Here is a 22,093-nt window from a genome sequence, read left to right as displayed (position 1 = left end):
ATGTCCTTAAATGGAGATTATAAGCCTGCGAGTAATTAAAGGGGATCCCTGCAAGGGAAAGTGGTATTGCAGACATGCCAATGGAAACGGTACACAGCATGTGGATGCCACTAAATCAAGTCACATATCTTGTGTCAGCTGAGTGAATTCTCAGCATCCTCTCTAGACAGGCTCTGCTTAATGTGGGGAAATTTATGGGTAATAGATTTTCATAACAGGCCTTTTATGATCTTTCCCTCCCCTAAAAGTGCCCTCTGGAGCTTTTCTGCTTCCACTCTCATTTTTCTTAATTGGAAAAAGATTTACTATTCATTTCCTCCTTCCCAGGGCTCCTTTCCACTCGAGTGGCATTGCCTCCCATCTTGTTCCTCCCTCTTGTACCCCTCATCTCTTCTTCAGACAGGAAACTGTAATATATGATAGATCTGACACTGGGGCATTGTTGCTAGCTCTGCTAGGGAAGAAGTCACTGCCATTCTAACAAGAATGGGGTGAACCCTACCTGCCTGACTCCAGAGGTCCTGCACACACCTATCTAACATCCAGTTGGCTCATACCCCCACTCCATGTGCTAGCATTGGAGAGCTTTGTGTACAAGTGGCAGAAAGTAAAAAGACAAACCTTGAGTGGAGACAGGAAATGGGAAATGAAGGGCCAAATCATGGATGCTTTGCCCATTGAAGAGAATATTTATTCTTGCAGGGGACTTGGCAGTCAACCACTGCTCATGGGTCCCATCTCCCTACTGTTGAGAAAAGAAGTCAAGGAGTCTTCTCTGCTCTTGATAGATCATCTTCCTAAATCAGTGGAAACCTTGCTTAACACAGGGCCTGCTCAATGTGGAGGGAGAAAAGCAAACACCCATTTGTTGTGATTTGGTAAAAAGCCAGCCTGACCAAACCAAACCAAGTAGAATCTTCTATGCTTAAAGACTCCCTTTGAGTTAATAGAAGACCCCTATAAAAATGTGAATGTTTTAACAGATAGAATAATATTAAATAACTAAGCACCCACATTTGTGTGTGCAAATTGAGTTAGAATCACCAACAGCTTAAGACTCAGGGAATCAGGACTCTGAGAGAGGGAGCATGAGCATTAGAGACATTCTACAGCACTTAAATGACTTGAGGGTTCCTGTCTCTCCTGGAACAGATTTCTATCCCAACAAGGCAATTCCATCCTAATTCATTGGTTAGATTAGTTTACTAACCAATAAGGCTTATGCTGTCTTCTGACTAGATCACCAATGTAATCATTAATTCCTTAAACTTGTTACCTAATACAGGAGGAACTGCTTCAGTGGTGAAGATCACTGACTTGACTTAAAAAAAAAGTTCATATTTCTGAATTACAAAGTGACAGCACTGGCACTGACTTATGGGTTGCTAATCTGGTATACATTCCTCTCCCTGACTGATCCACGTGGAACCTAGACTTGGAGGCAAGGACAGTTCAATTCAGAACTGTCATCAGAGTGGTGAGCTCTGGGCAGCAAGGGGGCTGCATGAAGGCCTAGGTTCCGAGGAGGAGGCATGGGGGCCTAGGTTCTGAGGAGGAGGTGGCAAACCATTGTTCAGAACCATCTGCCAGATACCAAGGTGGAGTCTGAACTTGCGGTTGTGGGATGCTGGTAGGTAATGCTTGCTGCTATAACCTGGAAATGGACACACAGGTGGCTGGAATTAGCACATCCATTCAACAGATATTTATTGAACATTTACTCCATTCAAGCCAGTGAGGGCAGAAACCAAGATAAATTCAACCCCTGAAAGGAGTTCATAATCTGTAGGGAAGTTAAGACCTGTTAAGGATGTGATAATAGGTAGAATGTGGTAAATATTACAGAAGACTTAAAGTGATTTAAAGTTTAGAGGAGGAAGAAGGCAATTCCAGCTAAGGGATCAGAGGAGGCTTCATAAAGAAAGTGGTATTCAAGCTGGCTCTTTTGGGATGGCTAGCATTGGGAGCTGGGGGAATGAAAGAGGACCTTTCCATGTACAGAAAGCTCAAATAGCAAGGTTGCAGAATCGGGAAATATGGTTATGGAAAAGCACACAATTCCATCTGGCTAGGGCTTGGAAGGCATGAAGGGCATTAGTGAGGCGCCAATCGTGCTTGGTACATACAGAAAGATGGCTTCGAAGAACTGAGAAGAGCAGACCAATCATTTAACGAAGTATAAGGCTCTTTCCAAAGGCTATGGCCCTGTGGAAGGGAGTCCCGGAAGGGCAGCACACATTTTCTAGTTTCAATCTCCACTCCAGGTGTTTCATTTCACTCTGCAGCTTTCCCCAAGAAATAAAAGAAATTAGGGCCAGCTACCCCATATCAAGGATCCCATCCATCTTAGCTGCAAGAGGAGACTTCAGTTGAGCAAGTCCTACAATCATTTAGAACAGCAGCACCATGGAGGACCCCTCAAGAGCCATAAGCTGTGACTTTACATTTTTCAGAATGGAATTTCTGTCCTTTTTTATTCTTGTCACCTTCTCCACTGTTTTGAACTCACTTTGCCCACCTCGTATTAAATTGGATTTTCACTTATTCTGCTTCCATTCAGAGCCCAGCTGAAATCCACTGCTTGTGGCAAGGTAGTGAGCATCTAAGATGATAGATTAATGAAACTAGAAGGAATTTTGACATTATTTCGAATTCAAGCTTTATATTTTATACTTGGTAACCTGGGATCTAAGAGGTGAAATGACTCATAAAAGTAATTACAAAATCAGGATTGACCCAGGTCTTCAAGTTCCTATACCTGTTTTCTTTCTACAATAGGAAGCTTTCTTAGGGTGCCCTGGAGACTAACAAAGAGCTTCAGTCATCTGAGCCAGGGATTGGCAAACTATGACCTGCAGGCCAAAGCCAGCCCACTCTGTTTTTGCAAATAAAGTTTTATAGGAATACAACCACACCTCTATCATCTATGGCTGTTTTGCACTTCAGTGCCAGAGCTCAATTATTATGACAGAAACTGTATGGCTCACAAATTTGAAAATATATACTATCTGACCATTTACAAAAAAGTTTGGTGATCCATGATCTAAGCCAATGGTTTCTAAATGACTTTTCATACTATACTACAATCAATTTTAAAAATTAAGCATGCACCAATAACACTGATATATACATTTATGTATGCATATACATTTATACGTATATGTATAGTCATTTATAAATTACATGTAGTGTTATTTAAATGTTTGTAGACATTACAAAACACAATGAACAGAAATTTAAAAGGACAGAATGACAATAAAACAAAGATACATTTAAAGTAATGTTAAATTTAATCTATTAATGTTCATAAAACTTTAATTATTTTTGAAACATCTTGGCTGAATGCATTGTAATCGATAATGTGAAGGTCTGGTTCTAAGTTCAGTTTATTTAGGCATTTAGTTTTAAATGACAGTCATAGCCTAATTTTTTTTTTCTTTTTTGAGATGGAGATTCACTCTTGTTGCCTAGGCTGGAGTGCAATGGCATAATCTCGGCTCACTGCAACCTCCACGTCCCTGGTTCAAGCAATTCTCCTGCCTTAGCCTCCCAAGTAGCTGGGATTACAGGCATGTGCCACCACACCCAGCTAATTTTGTATTTTTTTAGTAGAGACGGGGTTTCTCCATGTTGGTCAGGCTGGTCTTGAACTCCCAACCTCAGGTGATCCACCCGCCTCAGCCTCCCAAAGTGCTGGGATTACAGATGTGAGCCACCACGCTCAGCCCCGCTTAATTTTTTTAATCCCCAAAGATATACAAAGAAACACATAATTGGCTTGACAGGTGGAAGCACAGTACTAATATCTTAAATCTGCCCCACTAACCATGCACAATTTTTTGATACAATTTGCCTAGAAAATTGTATCAAAAATTGTCTGTCCTGATGTCAATCAGTTGTTCCAGTTCAAAGTAATCCCAAGGTGTTTCAATTTTACATTTTAAATAAATAGTTTCAAAACCTACTGAAATTCTTCACTGGGGAGATTTTTAAATACATTAGAAAATGTTTCCAAGGTGGAGTATGAAGATATGATAGTCTTGATAGGTTACATGTTTACATCTTTTTCACCAGCAAAATCACAAAAAAATGCTGCCATTTTCCAAAAGATCTGTTCTCTCATGAGTTACTTCTGAAAAGCAGTGAGATTCCCCCTCTCTGCTGTAAACTCACCTTGCTGAAAGGAACAGGTAAAGTGTGAGCTGAGGACGCACTGGTCTGCGTTCACAAGCATTAGTGTCCTCTCCGTGTGTAAGTGTCAGCGTTGCCTTGGGTTTGCATTATTAGTGTTACCTCTGCTTGAAGCTTCTGCAGAAATCCTTCTCAGTACAGGTCTATTTCATGAAGTTTAAACTAGATAAGGTTTACCACTGGTAAATCCATTTACCCAGTCAAGTAAACTGCCTTGAGTCACAGAATGCTGAAAAGACAGGGCCAAGCGAAGGCCCCACTGTTCTCCCCTCTGGGGGTGCAGGGGACTCATGTTCCATTTTTCCAGGGCACTATTTTTGTGTGATGCTCTCAGGACCAGTCACATGGGGTCGGAAATTGAGGGGAGGTGCTCGTGCCAGAAAGCATAACGAACATCAGTAAAGCTTTCTTTCTTTTTCTTTCAACTTCATTTTATACTCTCTTGCTCTCTTTGATTACACTTAAGTGGTTCTTTCCTTCTCTCCATTTTTACCGAGACCCCGCTTATCTGTCCATCAATGTCAGCTCAAATGCTACATTCTTCCATCATGGAAGTCAACTAGAAGGAGCTCTTTAATGCCTCTGAAATCTCTGTGGTTGTTCCAGTTATTTATCACATATTGCTCTATTGCTGTTATTTGTGTATTATCTCCCATATTATGGCATGTGTTTCTTGAAAGCAAGTCAAGTTTTATACATTTTTAGCACCCTTCTCAAAGTGCCTTGCATAAAGCAGGGATTTAATAAGTATTTTTAGTTAACTGCAGTCAAGAAAGGCATATGGCATTAAAACACAAAGCAATAGCCATCATGAGGCTAACCTATACCTGAATAAGAGGTGAACTGCCTAAGCTCATGTGGATTCATCTAAATCAGAACATGGAAAGGCCAAATACTCCAAGACTTAAAAGTTTTAGTGTCATATACAGAACAACAGTGCTTCCTTAAAAGGCAGATCAATGAAATATGACTCCAGTCCATGTGTAGGGAAAGGCTGACAATTCTATGCTAGGCTTATGAGTATTTACTGCAAAAATGGTGTTTAAAGTTATTACAGCTTTATCTTCTCTCAGTAACAGAGGCGGGAGAAGGTCATCCCCAAAACCAAAGCATGTGCACACACACAGAGCACACATACACTCTGTTGGAAGTTTTGTGAGTGGCTTTAAAAGCAGACACTTCATACTGGCTCATGGATATGAACCAGGAATACCTGGCTACACCTGCTGCCATGTTGCTATGGGCTGCAGGGCTCGCTTTCTGACCATCAGTTCCAGAAGGTGAAGCCTGATCATTCACCAAAAAAAAAAAAAAAAAAAAGAAAAAGGAAATGACCTCTCAGGTTTCAGTTTCATCATCATGACAAAACCATATTAAACCAACCGAGGAGTGGCGGCGGCAGCCTACTAAAAGCTAGGCTTGGAGACAGAAGAATTTTTAGAAAAAAATACAGGAGATGGAACCCCCAACACTTTGCACTTCTTTCAATTCCTTCCTGCCAATAGTCAGAAGCAATTACTAGCCACAAACTTTCTTGCCAGTGTTTGCTTAGGTAGGTTCTTGGTGCATTTTGCTCATTGGTCCAGAATGCAAATGTTTTAATGCATTTCTTTGCTTCTCATTCCCATGTTACTTTCTCTGGAGATGGCATTATGTTGCAACTATATGCAGAAAATCCCCTTGAGTTCAGAGCTGGAAAATGGATATTTTACTTACTAAGAAGACCAAGTGATTATGGACAGGAAAAGTATTTGACTTTTGAACCTAGTCAATGATCAGGTGCTAAAGTCAAACGGAGTCAACTGGTGTTTTCCAGTGAGACTGTGGACTTTGGCCTGCTTCAAGAGCGTGTGTGTGTGTGTGTGTACGTGTGTGCATGTGCCATCAGTCTTTTTTATTGTCATGTGATTGGCCTTGGCTTGGCTCATGAATAGAGCAGTTCTATATTTTCCTGCAACTCCAGCACATGCCTTTTTACCTCCATAACTCCTCCTGCACCATCTTCCCTTGCAAATTTCTTATATTCTTTCTCTTTTCACTATCAAGCCTAGTGTTAGTTTTGGCCTTTTGCAATGTCTGTGGGAAGCAAAAAGAACTCAGTACAACTAGGTAAACTGAGCATGTTTGATTTAGCAGTCCTTTGGAAATATTTTCATGTGCTGTAGCCAAAACTGGTTCTGAAATTCAATGGATAAGTCATTAATAGCCCAAAATAGTTAAATCCACCCTATCACGGGCTGTCTTGTCAGTTTACATTCAATTTTGGAGTTAGGTTTATCAGTTAGTTTAACCTACTTGGTAGTTGACCTAAAATCATCTTGAGATGGATCTCTACGGGGCTAGTGATTTTTAGTTCCAGACATCTTAATCACTTGACCAGTTGATCAAAATATCAAAAGAACAGTTCAGTTTCATTATTAAATATATCGGAACACTATATTGACTATATTCAATATTTTTGATCCAGGTATTAGTAGCCCTAACTCCAAAATGACATTGTGTTATGGGCTTGTGCTTTCTAAGCTGTCCTTTGAGACAAATTGTCCAATGTCCCTTTGTGCTCTCAATCTTACTTGATCCCACAGAGAGCTCTGACACTGTTGACCACATCTCCCTTTTTGAGATTCTCTGTTTTTAAATTTATTTTGTAGTTTCTTTTGTACCTTTTATTGGGTTTCTTCCTCAACTCCTTTCTTCTCCTATCCAACATATGCTCCTTGGATAATATCATCTATGTTTATAACTTGTCTGTCAGTTTTAAGGTGAGGATTCTCTAATTTATATTCCCAGCTCAGTCTGCACTTCCAAACGAAGTTCCTTTTTTTTTGAGACTGCGTTTTGCTCTTGTCACCCAGGCTCCCAGGCTGGAGTGCAATGGCGTGATCTTGGCTCACTGCAATTTCCACCTCACCGGTTCAGGCAATTCTCCTGCCTCAGCCTCCCAAGTAGGTGGGATTACAGGTGCCTGCCACCATGCCCAGCTAATTTTTGTATTTTTAGTAGAGACAGGGTTTCACTGTGTTGGCCAGGCTGGTCTCGAACTCCTGACCTCAGGTGATCCATCCACCTTGGCCTCCCAAAATGCTAGGATTACAGGCGTGAGCCACCACGCCCAGCCTTTGCACTCCTGAATTTCTAAATGGCCTTCTTCCTTGGTAATGAAATATCCAGTAAGGAAGCTGAGAGTAATGAGTAATTCTAGACACCTGATTAATCCAAAATTCTTTCAAAATTCAAAACTTCTCTCCATGCAGGCACTGCACTTCCATATCCTCTTACTTTTAAAAATTGATAATCTGAAAATTTTTTTTAAACTTCTCGATCATATCATCCTATCCTTGCTACAGCAATTTCACAATTCCAGGATGTGAAGTTGGCTTAATATTATAAGAAAAAGTAAAATAAGAGGCATGTATTAACTAAATTAAATATCAAGGGATGAATAACTTGCAGGGACACAGAGAAAATATAAAAAATCTCATCTCATTACTTATGACTTTGAAATGGATACTGTTTTCAACTACCTGGCAGAGTACTTCACTCCTTATATGCATGGAAAATAAAGTTTAAACAATACCCATGTGTCTAGAAGTTGATTTTGGTTGAAAGCACAATTCTCTACTGTTGAGTTTTAAACAACCGAACTGAATCTACCAACTTGGGAGGAAACCTGTCTAACTTGTTTCATATATATATATATATAGTATTTTCTTGAGAGGTTTCAAAATGTCAGGAAGAAAAACTGCCTGGCCCTTTACGGGGCCAGATGATCCAATAGAGGATGCATTTCAGAGTAGCAGTTGCTTCTCGAGGTCCTCAACCTCAGCTGCACATTAGAATTGCCTGGAGAAGTGCCTAAGAATCCTGATGCCCAGGCCATGCCCCAAATCAATTAAACCAGAATCCTGCTCGAGGTCTGATCTAGACATTAGAACTTTTGAAAGCTCCCCAAATGATTCCAGCCTGCAGCTCATGTGAGAAACACTGACGTATAATGAGTGACTTAAGAACACTGTGGACCAGATGCAGTTAAGTTAAAAGGCAGTGTCGAGTCATTCAGAAAATAGAGTGGAGAGAGGAGTCACTGGCAGGTATTTAGTGATCAGACAGGAAATAGATGAGCAACTCATCACTATGATCCTAAGTGCCAGGCTCTTTTTGTTTCTTTTATTATTTTAAAATTGGAGAATATAAATATTTACAAGCAAAAGTAGGTGTTACTTAATATTGTTGCATAGATAAATGTTTAAAACTTTTTAAACATGTGTTAAATATATCCAATGGTATATCCCTTGTTCTCTCCATGACTAAATTTGATCAAGTCCAGTATCACCTTCATCGCCTGGTGACCGAGAAGATTTTAACCTATATCCTCAACCTCTTTTAATGAAAACATCATGTAACCCCAAATTCCTATCTTTTTTCAACATAGATAAACTGTGTCAGCATGATATTCCTAAAGCTCAGTTAGAGATCTGTGAAAAAACAATTCTTAGCAGTCTGTTCTACAGAATTCAAACTGAAAAAAGAGAAAAAACCTAGGTCTGGAGCCAGCCAAACCAATGAGATACCTGCCAAACCACACCTTATCCTCTTTAATCAGCAAAAATATCATCCACCGCCTGACTCCCCTTCCCTCACCAATAGGCGCTTGTTCATTCCCTTATTAGGACACTGGCAGCGGCCAGAAGGATTGCTCGTGTCTGAGGGCCCACGAGTGGCTCCCACAACATGTGCAGTTCATCAAAAATGAAAAGGCGGGGGGGGACTGGAAAAATGAAATCCTCACTGTAGGGAGGAGAATCCATTTGGGGTAGGCCACAATTATGGTTTTGAAAACAATTTTTTTTTAAAGTCCAAACCAAAAAAACACAATCCTAATATTTTTTGTAAATGCATTTTTAGGAAGAATATGTTTGAAACTTAGAAATGCCATCAAGGAAATTTTACTTGCATGCTTCCAGGCAGTTGAATATATAATCAGGAAGCACCTAGTCTTACTTTTAAGAAGGGTTGGGCTTGGTTGGTCTATTCCAGTTCTAGGACCTGGGACAGACACCTGAACATAGAGTTGTAATGTGCTTTTTTTTTTTCTTTTTAACCTGGAGCAAAATAAAAGCTCTGTCCTCCCTTCTCTCTTTCTGCTTCTCCTCTGTTTACAGGGCTACTTTCTCTACTATGCTCTGATCTTAGTTCTTATCACCTTCTTCCTCTTCTCACAAGGTACCAACCAACAGTTAAACCTGGTTTTTTTATTTTCTATGATATCAGTGCAACTTCCAAGTCAAAATGAGACATCTCCCTGTTATGATCTGTGTCAGCAAGGCTGTCCCACTAATCCTATCCTGTTTCGTGGTAAGCTGTTTTCAGAGCCAACTCAGGAACTCAGGTCCATCCAAGCAAAGACAGATGGCAACTTTTTACAGAACACTTTCATCATGTATATGCGATCTAATTTGATCTTCGTAGTTATAGTATCTGTGAGACGGGCACTATTATTTCTATTTCATAGTTGAGGAAATTGGCTCAGAGGCGTTAGGTAACTTGTATTCAGAACCGGGACACCACTACAATTGTGGGCTTTTCTGACTGGTGGTGTTCTCTTCTTTCTCCAAGATGTCACAGTTCTGCTCAAATAAGGAGCTCTGAAGCCTACTAGAGAGACTTTAAGTCCTCAACTTCCCCCAGGGACCCGTAAACAAAGGGTATCAGGGCTGCTAGGAGACTATAGGAGGCCCTAGGAATCACCTCACCCTGCTGGGTTTATGCTGCTAGTGAGGAATACCTAACCTGCTCAATTTTACTGCTTGTTGAAGTTCTAGGTTTCTCATTTGTAAGGCTAAAAAAACTAAAAATCATAGCCACTGTCTATTTAAAAATGAACAGTAACATTGATAGTTTTAAATAAAGAAGAATGTACAGGTCCAGCCAATCTTACTTGGAATAAGTGAGTCAAACAGATTGTTTTACAGGATGGTGAAGCTTACTTAACAGTGATAATTTGCATTTGTGCAGGACTTACAAGGTGCCAGGCAGATGCATCTCATCTCATCCTTAGAACAACATTGAATAGACATGATTGCTCTATTTTACAATCTAGATGTGCAAACCTGGCACAGAGAAGTCAAATCACTTGCCCAGGATTATACACACAGCATTTTAGCCATCACCCGGCCAACCCCAAAGTGGGGGCTCTTTACACGACAGCAAAGCCCATTCATTTCTTTCCAGGTCTCAGTTCTCTGGCTTTGACAGGACAGGGGTTAGAACTTAAGATATAGAGAAGTCCGGCCAGGCATGGTGGCTCATGCCTGTAATCCCAGCACTTTGGGAGTCTCAGGTGGGTGGATCACCTGAGGTCAGGAGTTAGAGACCAGCCTGGCCAACATTGTGAAACCCTGTCTCTACTAACAATACAAAAATTAGCCAGGCATGGTGGTGGGTGCCTGTAATCCCAGCTACTTGGGAGGTTGAGGCAGGAGAATCACTTGAACCCAGGAAAAGGAGGTTGCAGTGAGCCAAGATCGCACCACTGCACTCCAGAATGGGAGACAAGAGCAAAACTCTGTCTCAAAAAAAAAAAAAAAAAAAAAAAAGATATAGAGAGGTCCAAAATTATGCCGAGTTTCTTTTCCTTGAATTGGCATACAAAGTCATGTGAGATTAATAACAATGGAGTTAGAGGATTGGCTAGTTATACGGAAGTCCATGTCTCCTGCTGGGGAAAGAGGTACACTCATGACTTCTTTTTAGGGCCTGTAAAGCAGTATTTAGACCCCTGGGCTAGATATTTAAGGGAAAGAGTTATAGAACTCAAAGTCTCTTGCTAGATCCTTCCTCTCCAGCCCTCCAGCCCTGCTCCTCCAGGAGGAGAAGTTTGCTCATCAAGCAGGATCTGATGTAATAACACAGCTGCTGCCAGATTCACCCACTCAAAGACTAGCGGTTAGAACTCTGAAAACACAGGGAATAACTTTCATAAATGCTAAGCTGGAGAGAGCAGGGGAGCCACCAGGAGCCAGCCTGGAGCCAAAAACCAGGCACCAGTCTTACACACGTCCAAGCAGGGAGGAAGTGGGCAAGTGAGTGAACCCCTCTGGCCTCATTTTCCTCATCTGCAAATGGAGGTAACACATTATTAGCTAACCACGGAAGTCATAGTGGAGTTGTAAGGATTAAATGAACTAATAGTTGCACGGTACTTAGAACAGTGCTTGGCATATAGTTAGTACTATATGAATGTTCACCATTTTTAAAATTTTATCATCATCATCATGATGGAAATTAAATCTGTGCTTACAGGTCTTGCAGAGCATGTTCTTGTTTCCAAACAAGAAGTGGGGAATTGGGCAGAAAAGATTTTTCTAACTTAAGGATCTTAAATGCCTTTTCATTGATGATAGTAACACCACAGAAGGCTGAGAAACGCAGAATACATGTAGAAGAAAATTCTTATCTCCTCTTTGTGTTCCCTTGTTCCTCCCTGTTGATTACTTTTCTCTTTCTTTTTTGAGGGGTGTACAAGGAGAACTGTGGCTAAAAATGTCCAACAAATAGAATGCCTTTCATCTCTTATTTTCTCTATCTCTTTCTTAATCCATGTCATTTCTCATTAAAATGTACTTGGAAATTTATCATCAGAGAGCTTTATCTTCCCATGCCAGAAAAGGCATGTGTCCTAGTGGAAGAGGATAATCCCCTTTTCTGTTCTTCTTTGGGGCTGGTTTAATACCCAGACTTCACGGAGAATTGATGGATCAGAGCTCGATGCAGGGAGATTAGTTAGCTTTCTAAGAAGCGAATACTTCCTGATCACAAAGAGGCAAAAGCTCCCTAGACCCAATGGTTTTATACAGGTTTTTTACCTGTGAGGGAAGGACCCAGCTGTCCTCCCTGCCCCAACAAACTTCAGCCAGCTGGCATTTCATTTATTGATTTTTATTATTTTTATTTTAAGACACCATCTCACTGTGTCACCCAGGCCAGAGTGCAGTGGTGAGAACAACGACCTCCCAGCTCAAGCAATCCTCCCACCGCAGCCTCTTGAGTAGCTGGGACTGCAGGTGTGTGCCACCATGCCCAGCTAATTTTTTTAGTTTTCGTAGAGACGAGATTTCACCATGTTGCCCAGGCTAGTCTCAAACTCCTGGGATCAAGCAATCCTCCCACCTCGACCTCTCAAAGTGTTGGGATTACAGGTGTGAGCCACCATGCATGGCCAGCTGGCATTTTAAATGTATTCAATAATTATCCCACTTATTGCTTTTATTTATTTATTTATTTATTTACTTATTTTGAGACGGTGTCTTGCTCTGTACCCCAGGCTGGAGTGCGATGACATGATCTTGGCTCACTGCAACCTCTGCCTCCTGGGTTAAAGTGATTCTCTTGCCTCAGCCTCCCGAGTAGCTGGGATTACAGGCATGCACCACCACATCTGGTTAATTTTTGTATTTTTAGTAGAGACGGGGTTTCGCCATGTTGACCAGGCTGGTCTCAAACTCCTGATCTCAGGTGATCCGCCTGCCTCAGACTCCCAAAGTGCTAGGATTACAGGTGTGAGGCCCCATGCCTAGCCTATCCCACTTATTGCTTATGGATTAAATTATGAAACTGCACATTACAATTTTTAAATCTTTCAGTATTTGTCATGTGTTCAGTTGTGTCCTCCAAAAAATGATATGTGGACGACCTAACTCCCAGTACCCTAGAATGTGGCCTTATTTGGAAACAGGGACTTGACCGAGCTAACTGAGTGAAGATGAAGTTATCAGGGTGGGTTCTAATCCAATATGACTGATGTCCTTATCAAAAGGGGACATTTGGCTTCAGACACAGACAGACCTGCACAGAGGGCAGACGCTAAGAAGAGACACAGGGAGACAATCTTGGCCATGTGAAGGCAGAGATTGGAGTGACGCATCTACAAGCCAAGAAATGCCAAAGCTTGCTGCCAAACCACCAGAAGTGAGGACAGAGGCATGGAACAGATTCTTCCTCACGGTTCTCAGAAGGAACCAACCCTGCTTGTGATTTATTTATTTTTAAAGATTTTATTTTTGTAGAGGAGTTTTACATTCATGGCAAAATTGAGAGGAAGATACAGAAATGTCCCATATATTCCGTCTCACACACACATAACCTCTCCCATTATAAACATCCCTCACAAGTGTAGTACATTTGTTACAACTGATGAACCTGCAGTGACACATCAGTATCACCCAAAGTCCATAGTTTACATTAGGGTTCACTCTTGCCATTGTACATTCAATGGGCTTGGACAAATGTAGTGTCATACCAACTATTTTCACTGCCCTAAAAATCCCCTGTGCTCTGCCTATTCATCCCTCTCTTCTTGCCCTAGTGCCTAGAAACCACTCATCTTTTTACTGTCTCCATAGTGTTGCCTATTTCAGAATGTCACATAGTTGGAATCCTACAGTATGCAGCCTTTTCAGACTGGCTTCTTTCACTTAGTAATATGCACTTACGTTTCCTGCATGTCTTTTCATGGCTTAAGAGCTCATTTGTTTTTGGTTCTGAGTAATATTCTATTGTCTGGGTGCACCACAGTTTATTTATCCACTCATCCACTGAAGTCATTTATCCATTCACCTATTGAAGGACAACCTGTTATTTTAAGCCACAGAGTACATGATACTTTGTTAAGGTAGCCCTAGGAAAGTAATACAGTAGTCAGTTTAAGGATTGAAGGATTCTACTTTGTTAATAATCATGTTTCCACAATTTCCAGCACCTTGTACTGTTTATTCAGGTGAGTGGTTCATTACACTGAAGCGGCAGTCCACCTGACTTTTTCAGATGCCTTCTGTTGTAGGTTGTAAATTTATTCTCTTGGATGTTCAGTTTTTCCCTTTGCTGTGTTCCTTTTGTCCTCTGGTATCTGGGGATCTTGGATGGAGATTTCCCTGTAGCTCCGAGGTGGGCTCATGAAACCTAAGCCTTCCTAGGCTCCCAGGGGTAGCTGGATCACAGAGCCACTCCATTTCCTGGGAGTAGGGGGTGGTTTACATGATCTCCCTCCCAGCCCCAAAACCTTCAGATTCAGGAAAAACAGACTCATGATACTTCCCTGGATCACACTGAATGTTTCATTAATGTCAGACATTTGAACATATATACAGGAAAGGGAAAGCAAGTAGGAAAAATATTCTCCATGGTATGAACTTATGTAGACCTGGGATGGCTCTGTCTATGATGCAAGGCTGTTTCCTTTGGGGTGAATGGACATGCACACACTTCCTGGTTGCCTTTCACTCAGTGGGGTTAAAAAGAAAGTCCCTGCCTACGCTTGAGTCTAGGGAACTTTTGCTCTTTTGTGACGAGAAAATATTCACTTAGAAAGCTAACCAATATCACAATATCATTTTTCACAATAGGCCTCTCTAGGTTGCAAGAAATGTGCCCAATGTGTGGAGATTGTGCCCAATTTTAGAATGTGGAGGTAATGCCCAGGCTCGTTGCATTTAATCTAGAAGTATGTATACTCAGATGATGGGTCAAATTGTATACTCCACCTCCAAATATATGTTAAAGTCTTAACCCCCAGTACCTCAGGATGTGACCTGATTTGGAAACAGAATATTTGCAGATGTAATCAAGATGAGGTCATTAGGATGAGCCCTAATCCAGTGTGGCTGGTGCCCTTTGGACACAAACACAGACACACACAGAGGGAAGCCTCTGTGAAGAGACATAGGGAGAATGCCGTATGAAATTATGGAAGCACTGGAGTTACGATGGCCTAAGCCAAGGAATATCTGGGGCTACCAGAAGCTACAGGAGGCAAGGAAGGATCCTCCCCTACAGGTTTCAGAGGGAGCATGGCCCTGCTGACACCCTGATTCTAGACTTCTAGCCTCCACAACTGTGAGACAATAAGTGTCTGTTGTTCTAAGACACCCGGCTCATAGTACTTTGTACTTTACAAGCAAAGCAGCCCTCAGAAGCTAATACAACTCATCACAGTCACTCATGCTTTTGTGATTACCCAGAAGCTCCCCCAGATTCATCTCCTACATACCCAGTTCATGGCAATAATTATTGTGAAACACCTACGTTCCCCCATTCCCACCCCTTGAGCACTGAGTAAGCACCAGGCACTGTGCTAGCCACTTTACATGTATATTCCTCTTTTTGTAGATCAATCAGCTGAGAAACTCAGAGAGATTCAGTAATTCGCTCAAGGGCACATAGTTGATAAAATGATGAGACTAGGATTTGGATTCAAGTTTATCTGGATTTTGACGTCAATAGTCTTAATTTATGCTCTCCTCACTTGTCCAGAATACTTCAAGATTGATGGCATCTGCTGGCAAAAAAAAAAAAAACCCTACTTCTCCCTACCTCCCTCTTGGCACTGAATCTGGCTTAGGCCCACCAGGAAAAGTAGTAATTCTATATTTTGCCAAAACAAAAATCAGTTTTCAGCAAGTTTCCTTTAACATCAGAGTTAGCCAACGTATAGTGGTACAAATTCTTATTTTAAATAGTAAGCCAACGAGATAACTCCATCTGAAATAAAGAGCTCTGATTTTCCTGAAAGCAGAAGGATGTTTTAATAAATGCATGCCAATCACAAGTTGAATTCCGCTGATTTCACCCTGGCGTCTATCAGTTTGTTGGCAGAAGATATCATGCCATTTCTCTTCGGGGGTCTTTGGGGAGGGGAATGTTCAGAGGGAAAGGGAAAAGATGGAAATGTCACACTGATCAGGCACCCACTGTGGTTTATATACTTTGCATAGCTAGTTCCTTTCATTTTCACCTATAAGACAGACAACAGATGTCTTTAACAGATGGAGAAACTTAGGCCAGTGAAATTAAGTGACCTGCTTGTGGTCATACACTGTGTCATGAGTGGGATCTAAATACAGATGTGGGAATCAGCATATCGGGCCCCAGTTTCTTATTTGTCAAGAATGTACCCATTTAGTGCTGCGAGGGCTAGGCCTGGGTAGCAGGAGGGGCGTTGAGACTCTTTTGTGCAACCTGCAGCGCAGCTACACCCCAGAAAGGCTGCCTGCCAGTTAGTGAAGATGAACAACCAGCTGCTCTTTAAAACCATCCCTTCTGCTTCCAGTCCAATGTACCTAACCCCTCTGGGCTTCAGCTTACTGATTCAAAAGCCGTGTGAACTCAGTCTTTTTCAATTCAATTCGCAGGCATACCATAACATTCATGAAACAGCTGCAGAAACTATCTACAAAGAAGCTATACAGCAGTCATGAAATCAGCTAAAAGCTAGGTATACAAAAACTGCTTAACTTTTATGCATTTTAGATGTTTTCTCTGGAAACTACACTAAGTGCTGATGAGCAGTGGCCTTTGGTGGACATTGCTGATTTGTGTAATGAATATTTTCACTCTTTAAAGGACAAAAGGGAATTATTTTCTTCTCTTTGGAGTGAATATAGTTTTGTTTTTATTTTATTTTATTGTTATTTTATTCTTCCCCACCGTTACTTACAAAGTGAAAGGTAGAGTGATTTGGAGAACTGACTCCTAGAAAAGGTGAATGTAGACATTCCTTTAAAACAGATCAGCAAACAGACTGGGTGTGGTGACTCATGTCTGTAATCTCTACACTTTGGGATCCCGAGGCAGGAGGATCTCTTGAGTCCAGGAGTTTGAGAGCAGCCTGGGCAGCATAGTGAGACCTCGTCTCTACAAAAAAAAATTTTTAAATTAACTAGGAGTGGTGGCAAGCATCTGTAGTCCTAGCTACTCAGGAAGCTGAGGTGGGAAGATTGCTTGAGCCCAGGAGGTTGAGGCTGCAGTGAGCTGAGATAGTGCCACTGCACTCTAGCCTGGGAGACAGAGCAAGACCCTGTCTCAAAACAAAAACAAAAACAAAAACAAAAAAGAAAGATCAATAAACAGACATGGAAAGACACAGGGAGCTAATGCAGCAGGCAGAGCTAGCCTGTAAGGCACAGCTCTAGGGTGGGTTAGGCTCCGAATAGGAATTCAGCAGGCCTTGAATGAAGCATTCTGGCTGGGCGCGGTGACTCATACCTGAAATCCCAGCACTCTGTGAGGGCCAGGCGGGCGGATCACCTGAGGTCAGGAGTTCAACACCAGCGTGGCCAACATGGTGAAACCCCGTCTCTACTAAAAATGGAAAATTAGCCAGGTGTGGTGGTGGGCGCCTGTAATCCCAGCTACTCAGGAGGCTGAGGCAGGAGAATCGCTTGAACCTGAGAGGCAGAGGTTGTAGTGAGCCGAGATCGTGCCATTGCACTCCAGCCTCAACAAGAGTGAAACTCTATCTCAAAAAAAAAAAAAAAAGAAAAAGAAAGAAGCATTTGTTCTAACCAATGTCTGTGTGAGATGTGTGAAATGAGGTCTAGGATAGTTACAAAAGGAAAAGTGAAAGATAAATGAGGAAAGTACTATATTTGATCTAAAAGTTTATTGTTTTAAACCCTTCTTGATAAAATTATCTCTTTTAGTGGTTGGTTTTATTTACTGTTAGTTGCTTTTAATAAAAAGTGGTCTTAAAACAGTAGAAATTAGTGTTTATAAATCTACTGGGTTAGAGTAGATAATATCAGGCAAAGCACGCTCCTTTACAAATAGGTTCATGACTTAAAAACCCAACAACCACCTAGTTGCTTCCTTGATTTTAAAACCAGAAAAATGGCCAGGCGCAGTGGCTCACGCCTATAATGCCGGCACTTTGGGAGGCTGAGGTTGGCGGATCACCTGAGTTCAGGAGTTCGAGACCAGCCTGGCCAACATGGCAAAACTCCATCTCTACAAAAATACAAAAATCACGCCTGCAATCCCAGCTACTCGGGAGGCTGAGGCTGGAGAAGTGCTTGAACCCAGGAGGTGGAGGTTGCAGTGAGCCGAGACCATGCCACTGCACTCCAGCCTGGGCAATAGAGTGAGGCTCCATCTCAAAAAAATAAAAATAAAAAATAAAACCAAAAAAAAAAGTATTTAAGGGAAGAGGGACCAGGATAACTTGGCTGAGTTTCTTCAATTCAAATCTACTTAAAATATCACAAAAAAAGTTACCCTGAGATTTCCATTTATGAAGTTGCATCATATTATAGCCTTGTTCAAGAATCCTTTCCCAGATCTACAAAGAACAAATGGTCCCTCCAAGTTGTTCCTCTGATATTAAATTTTAATTGTAAAAGTAAGACTGTTTAATAATAACTTGGATTTGCTCTGTACTTAATATTTTTCTGCACACTTTAATGCACATTATTATACTGGATGTTCTTGCTCACCCTGTGAATTACACAGAACAGGCATCAGCATCTCCACTTCATAGCTGTGTCGCAGCAAGTTGAAGCGACTTGCTGCAGATCACAGTACTGATTACTGAAGGAGTTAGACCAGAATCCAGACCCTCTGACTCCCATCCAAAAAAACTTTTCTTAAACCCCCAGGCTAGCCAGGCATGGTGGCGGGCGCCTGTAATCCCAGCTTCTCGGGAGGATGAGGCAGAATAATTGCTTGAACCTGGGAGGCAGAGGTTGCAGTGAGCCGAGATAGTGGAGGCTTATCACTTTTGGGAGGCCGAGGTGGGAGGACTGCTTGAGCCCAGGAGTTTGAGACCAGCATGGGCAATACAGCGAGACCCCATCTCTACAAAAAAATACAAAAACTTATCAGGGCATGGTGGCACACATCTGTAGCCCCAGCTACTTGGGAGGCTGAGGCAGGAGGATCGCTTAAGCCCAGGAGGTTGAGGCTGCAGTGAGCCAAGGTTGTGCCACTGCACTCCAGACTGAGTGACCAGAGACCTTCCCTTGAAAAAACAAAATTAGTTAGATTAAAAAAAACAAAAAACAAAACAAAACAAAAAACCTCCATGCTGACCCTTGTAGCTGGCAGCCTGGGTTGTCACCAGCCAACATAGCTTCCTAAGCTGCCCTGAAGGCAGGGACCAGAGATACCAAGGTCATGTGATATGTTCAGTGGTTTTCAAACTTCGGTTTGTGACCCATCTGCAGCTTCTGAAATCTATTTAGTGGATGACCAGCGTTTTAAAATGAAATAGAATCGTATAGAAAATATCAGATGACTTTGTACACAGCAAGTGTGAGCACCGTTTTGTGAAATATTTGCTTCAAATATATATATATATATTTATATATATATATTGTATATAGGTACTGGGGTTACAAAATAAAATGCATTTATTTCAGAAGGTCACAGGAAAAAAAAAATGAAAACTGAGAACACTGATGTAGATAATGCTAAGCTGGGTGGGAGGTCAGAAGACAACAGAACCCTTGAGGCCAGAGCCTGAGCTTTGTCCTTTTTGATGTTCTTAATGCTCAGTCAGTACAGCAGTATTCACTAGAATGCGAAACCCTCAATGAGTATTTGCTGAATGAATGACTGGAAATGAATGAGGTTTACAGATTTTCTAAGGACTCCTCTTAAAAATTCAATTAGGCTTGGAAATAGATCCAGGCAGCACTACATTTATGAAGAGGTTGTTTCCAAGACCTTCATTGTAAATTGGCTTTTGAAACTTTCAACAGCATGACACATGGTAGTCGGGCTCTCAGACCAGCCTACAACCACCTTTTTAAACCCAAGGTGTGTCTGAAGCTGGTATGGAGAAACGAAGCTGTGTTTCTATAGGGAAACGGATCCTCACTAGTCTGATTAAAAATGCCAGGGGTAAGTTCGCCTCCAGAGGACAGAGGACCTCTTCCCCATTTCTCATTCCTCTTGCCACTGTTAGGCCTGTCTCTATAAAGTGATTTTGATGGGCTGAGAGGAATGTGAGAAGCAGCATAGGCAGGGCTCATTTCAAGGATCAATAGATCAAAGGTAAGGAGAGGGAAAAACGCAGACAGCAATGCAAATTGCTGTTCAATAGGTTTGAAAGGCTTGTGGCCACCAGGTATTGAACCAGTGTGAGTGTGGGTGGGCTGGCCATTTGTAGAGAAGACACATATACAGAAGGTCAAGACCACCTCCATAATCACCACTGCTCGTGCAGTGCTGCAATATCTTGTATAGAAGAGTACCCAATACATGCAAAGCACAGTGACCTATTTCTCTGCCATTCTTTTTTATTTTTAATCTATAAACAGCAGTAGCAATTTTATCCATAACCAGATAAAGGGTCCAGATCATTTGAAACCTTTCTTTGAACCAAAAAGTAGACAAATTGGTCAGTGTTAGAAATGCAAAATGCTTGTTTCCCAGTGCCACAAAGAAATAGCACTGGAACATAAATGCAATTTTCTCAGAAAGGCAAAATTTACTTTCTGCAGAAAGGGTGCCCCTCGAAGATGGAACAATGGCGAGAGCACACCTGGACAGGGGAGGGGCAGGAGTTCTTATTCCTGATGCAGGCGGCCCCTACTGCTGTGTTGTTCCCTATTGGCTAGGGTTGGACCACACAGTCTAAGCCAGTTCCGACTGGCTATTTTAAAGAGGGCAGGGATATGAGCCAGAGTGGCAGGGTGAGTAGTTTGGCGGGAAGGATGGTTAGAAACAGGTAACCAAAGGTGACTTAGGTCAGAGCAGGTGACCAGGGGTGATTCAGGTCAAAGCACGTGACCAGGATGAGACAGGACAGAGCAGGTGACCAGGGGAACAGATGTGAACCTACTGAATAGGACTGGTGGGAAAGTTGTTTACTGAAACTAGAAGCAAGTGGGCAGAGAGAACCAGGAAGTTAAACTTTGAAATCAAGAATTAAAAAATAAGAAAGCTGAACATACTGACATACTGATTCTTTGAAGAGAAACTGGAAGTTCACTATATTTAACACTTTGGCCTACAAACCAATAGTCACAAAATGTAAGTGCCCATTACTTTGTAGGAGAGAAGGCCTCTCTCACCAGATTGTTGATTTTTACTTTGAACGTAATTCTAACAAATGGGTGTCCTGTTACTCTTGGCTACAGCAGAACAGGGAGCGGGACCATGACAGGCAGATGCATTAATAGGTATTAGAAGAGATTTAAAAGCATCAATATTATGTGATGGAAGACATCACATAATAACTGGACCCATTTTTGGATGGGAGTCTTATCCCCTGAGGTATCACTGTTTTACAGCATGATTAAAAAACTATGTTCATAAGGACAGCTCCTAGCAATTTGAAAATGTTTTAAATGTGTTGTAATATCTGCTTTAATGAAGGCAAAGAGTTTCCACTAAATACATACACACACACACACACACACACACACACACACACACACACACACATACATATATAAAACCAAATTTAGCATCCTGGATAATTATAATGCTACATTTCCTGATAACATTGAATAAGCCAGGCATTCCTAAACTTTTGACAAATCTCAATATTCTTATGTTTATTTCCTTTGTCATTTCTGCAGAATCTTTAAAAATTGTGCCAATTATTTATTTATTTATTTATTTATTTATTTATTTATTTATTTATTTCCCAGCACTGTTTTGGATTCAGTTCCCTCAGAAAACAGTGGGATGAACTAAATAATTTCCTACGTTTCCTTGACTCCATGATTTTACAATTTACATACCCTTCCATGTTTGTTACAAAATGTAACACACACAAAAAACTTTTAACTTTCAGCTGCAAGATATATAAAAGCACACTTCTCTATAAGAAAAATAACCCTTTATGGACTAAAACAAATATTTACAGGAAACCCCAAATCTTGTTGCAAGTAAACTTCCTTAGGCTTTGGGAAAATGATAAAAGTACCAGTGAAAATATTAAACCGCAAGTGACAGAATCTCTCAGTGATCTTGGTAGGAACAAATTAAACATGCCTTGAAATCTAAATAACTGAACAACCATTCACGACTGCTCCTGAAAATAACATGGCCCTTGTGTAGGTCTTGGCATTCAGGAATTTTAACATGTCTCATTAAAAAATCACAGCCAATCTTGCTCTAC

General features: G+C 41.3%; 1 protein-coding gene across 48 annotated transcripts in view, besides 2 other annotated features; it reads right to left on the bottom strand.

Annotated features, from left to right (window-relative positions):
- CALD1 (caldesmon 1) overlaps nt 1-22,093 on the bottom strand; it is a 259,231-nt gene that overhangs the window by 54,020 nt on the left and 183,118 nt on the right. The gene's annotated exons all lie outside the window — the stretch shown is intronic.
- Nucleotides 8,150-8,199: a silencer, noted in NCBI's record as "silent region_18675". NCBI's record gives its function as "represses an Ori minimal core promoter by ATAC-STARR-seq in GM12878 lymphoblastoid cells {active_cell/tissue: GM12878}" and the evidence as "EXISTENCE:reporter gene assay evidence [ECO:0000049][PMID:35858748]".
- Nucleotides 8,210-8,259: a silencer, noted in NCBI's record as "silent region_18674". NCBI's record gives its function as "represses an Ori minimal core promoter by ATAC-STARR-seq in GM12878 lymphoblastoid cells {active_cell/tissue: GM12878}" and the evidence as "EXISTENCE:reporter gene assay evidence [ECO:0000049][PMID:35858748]".

Source organism: Homo sapiens, chromosome 7 (genome assembly GCF_000001405.40).
Source record: "Homo sapiens chromosome 7, GRCh38.p14 Primary Assembly".
NCBI lineage: Eukaryota > Metazoa > Chordata > Mammalia > Primates > Hominidae > Homo > Homo sapiens.
Note: the sequence above shows the minus strand (reverse complement) of the source record. Positions and strands in the feature narration are given on the sequence as shown.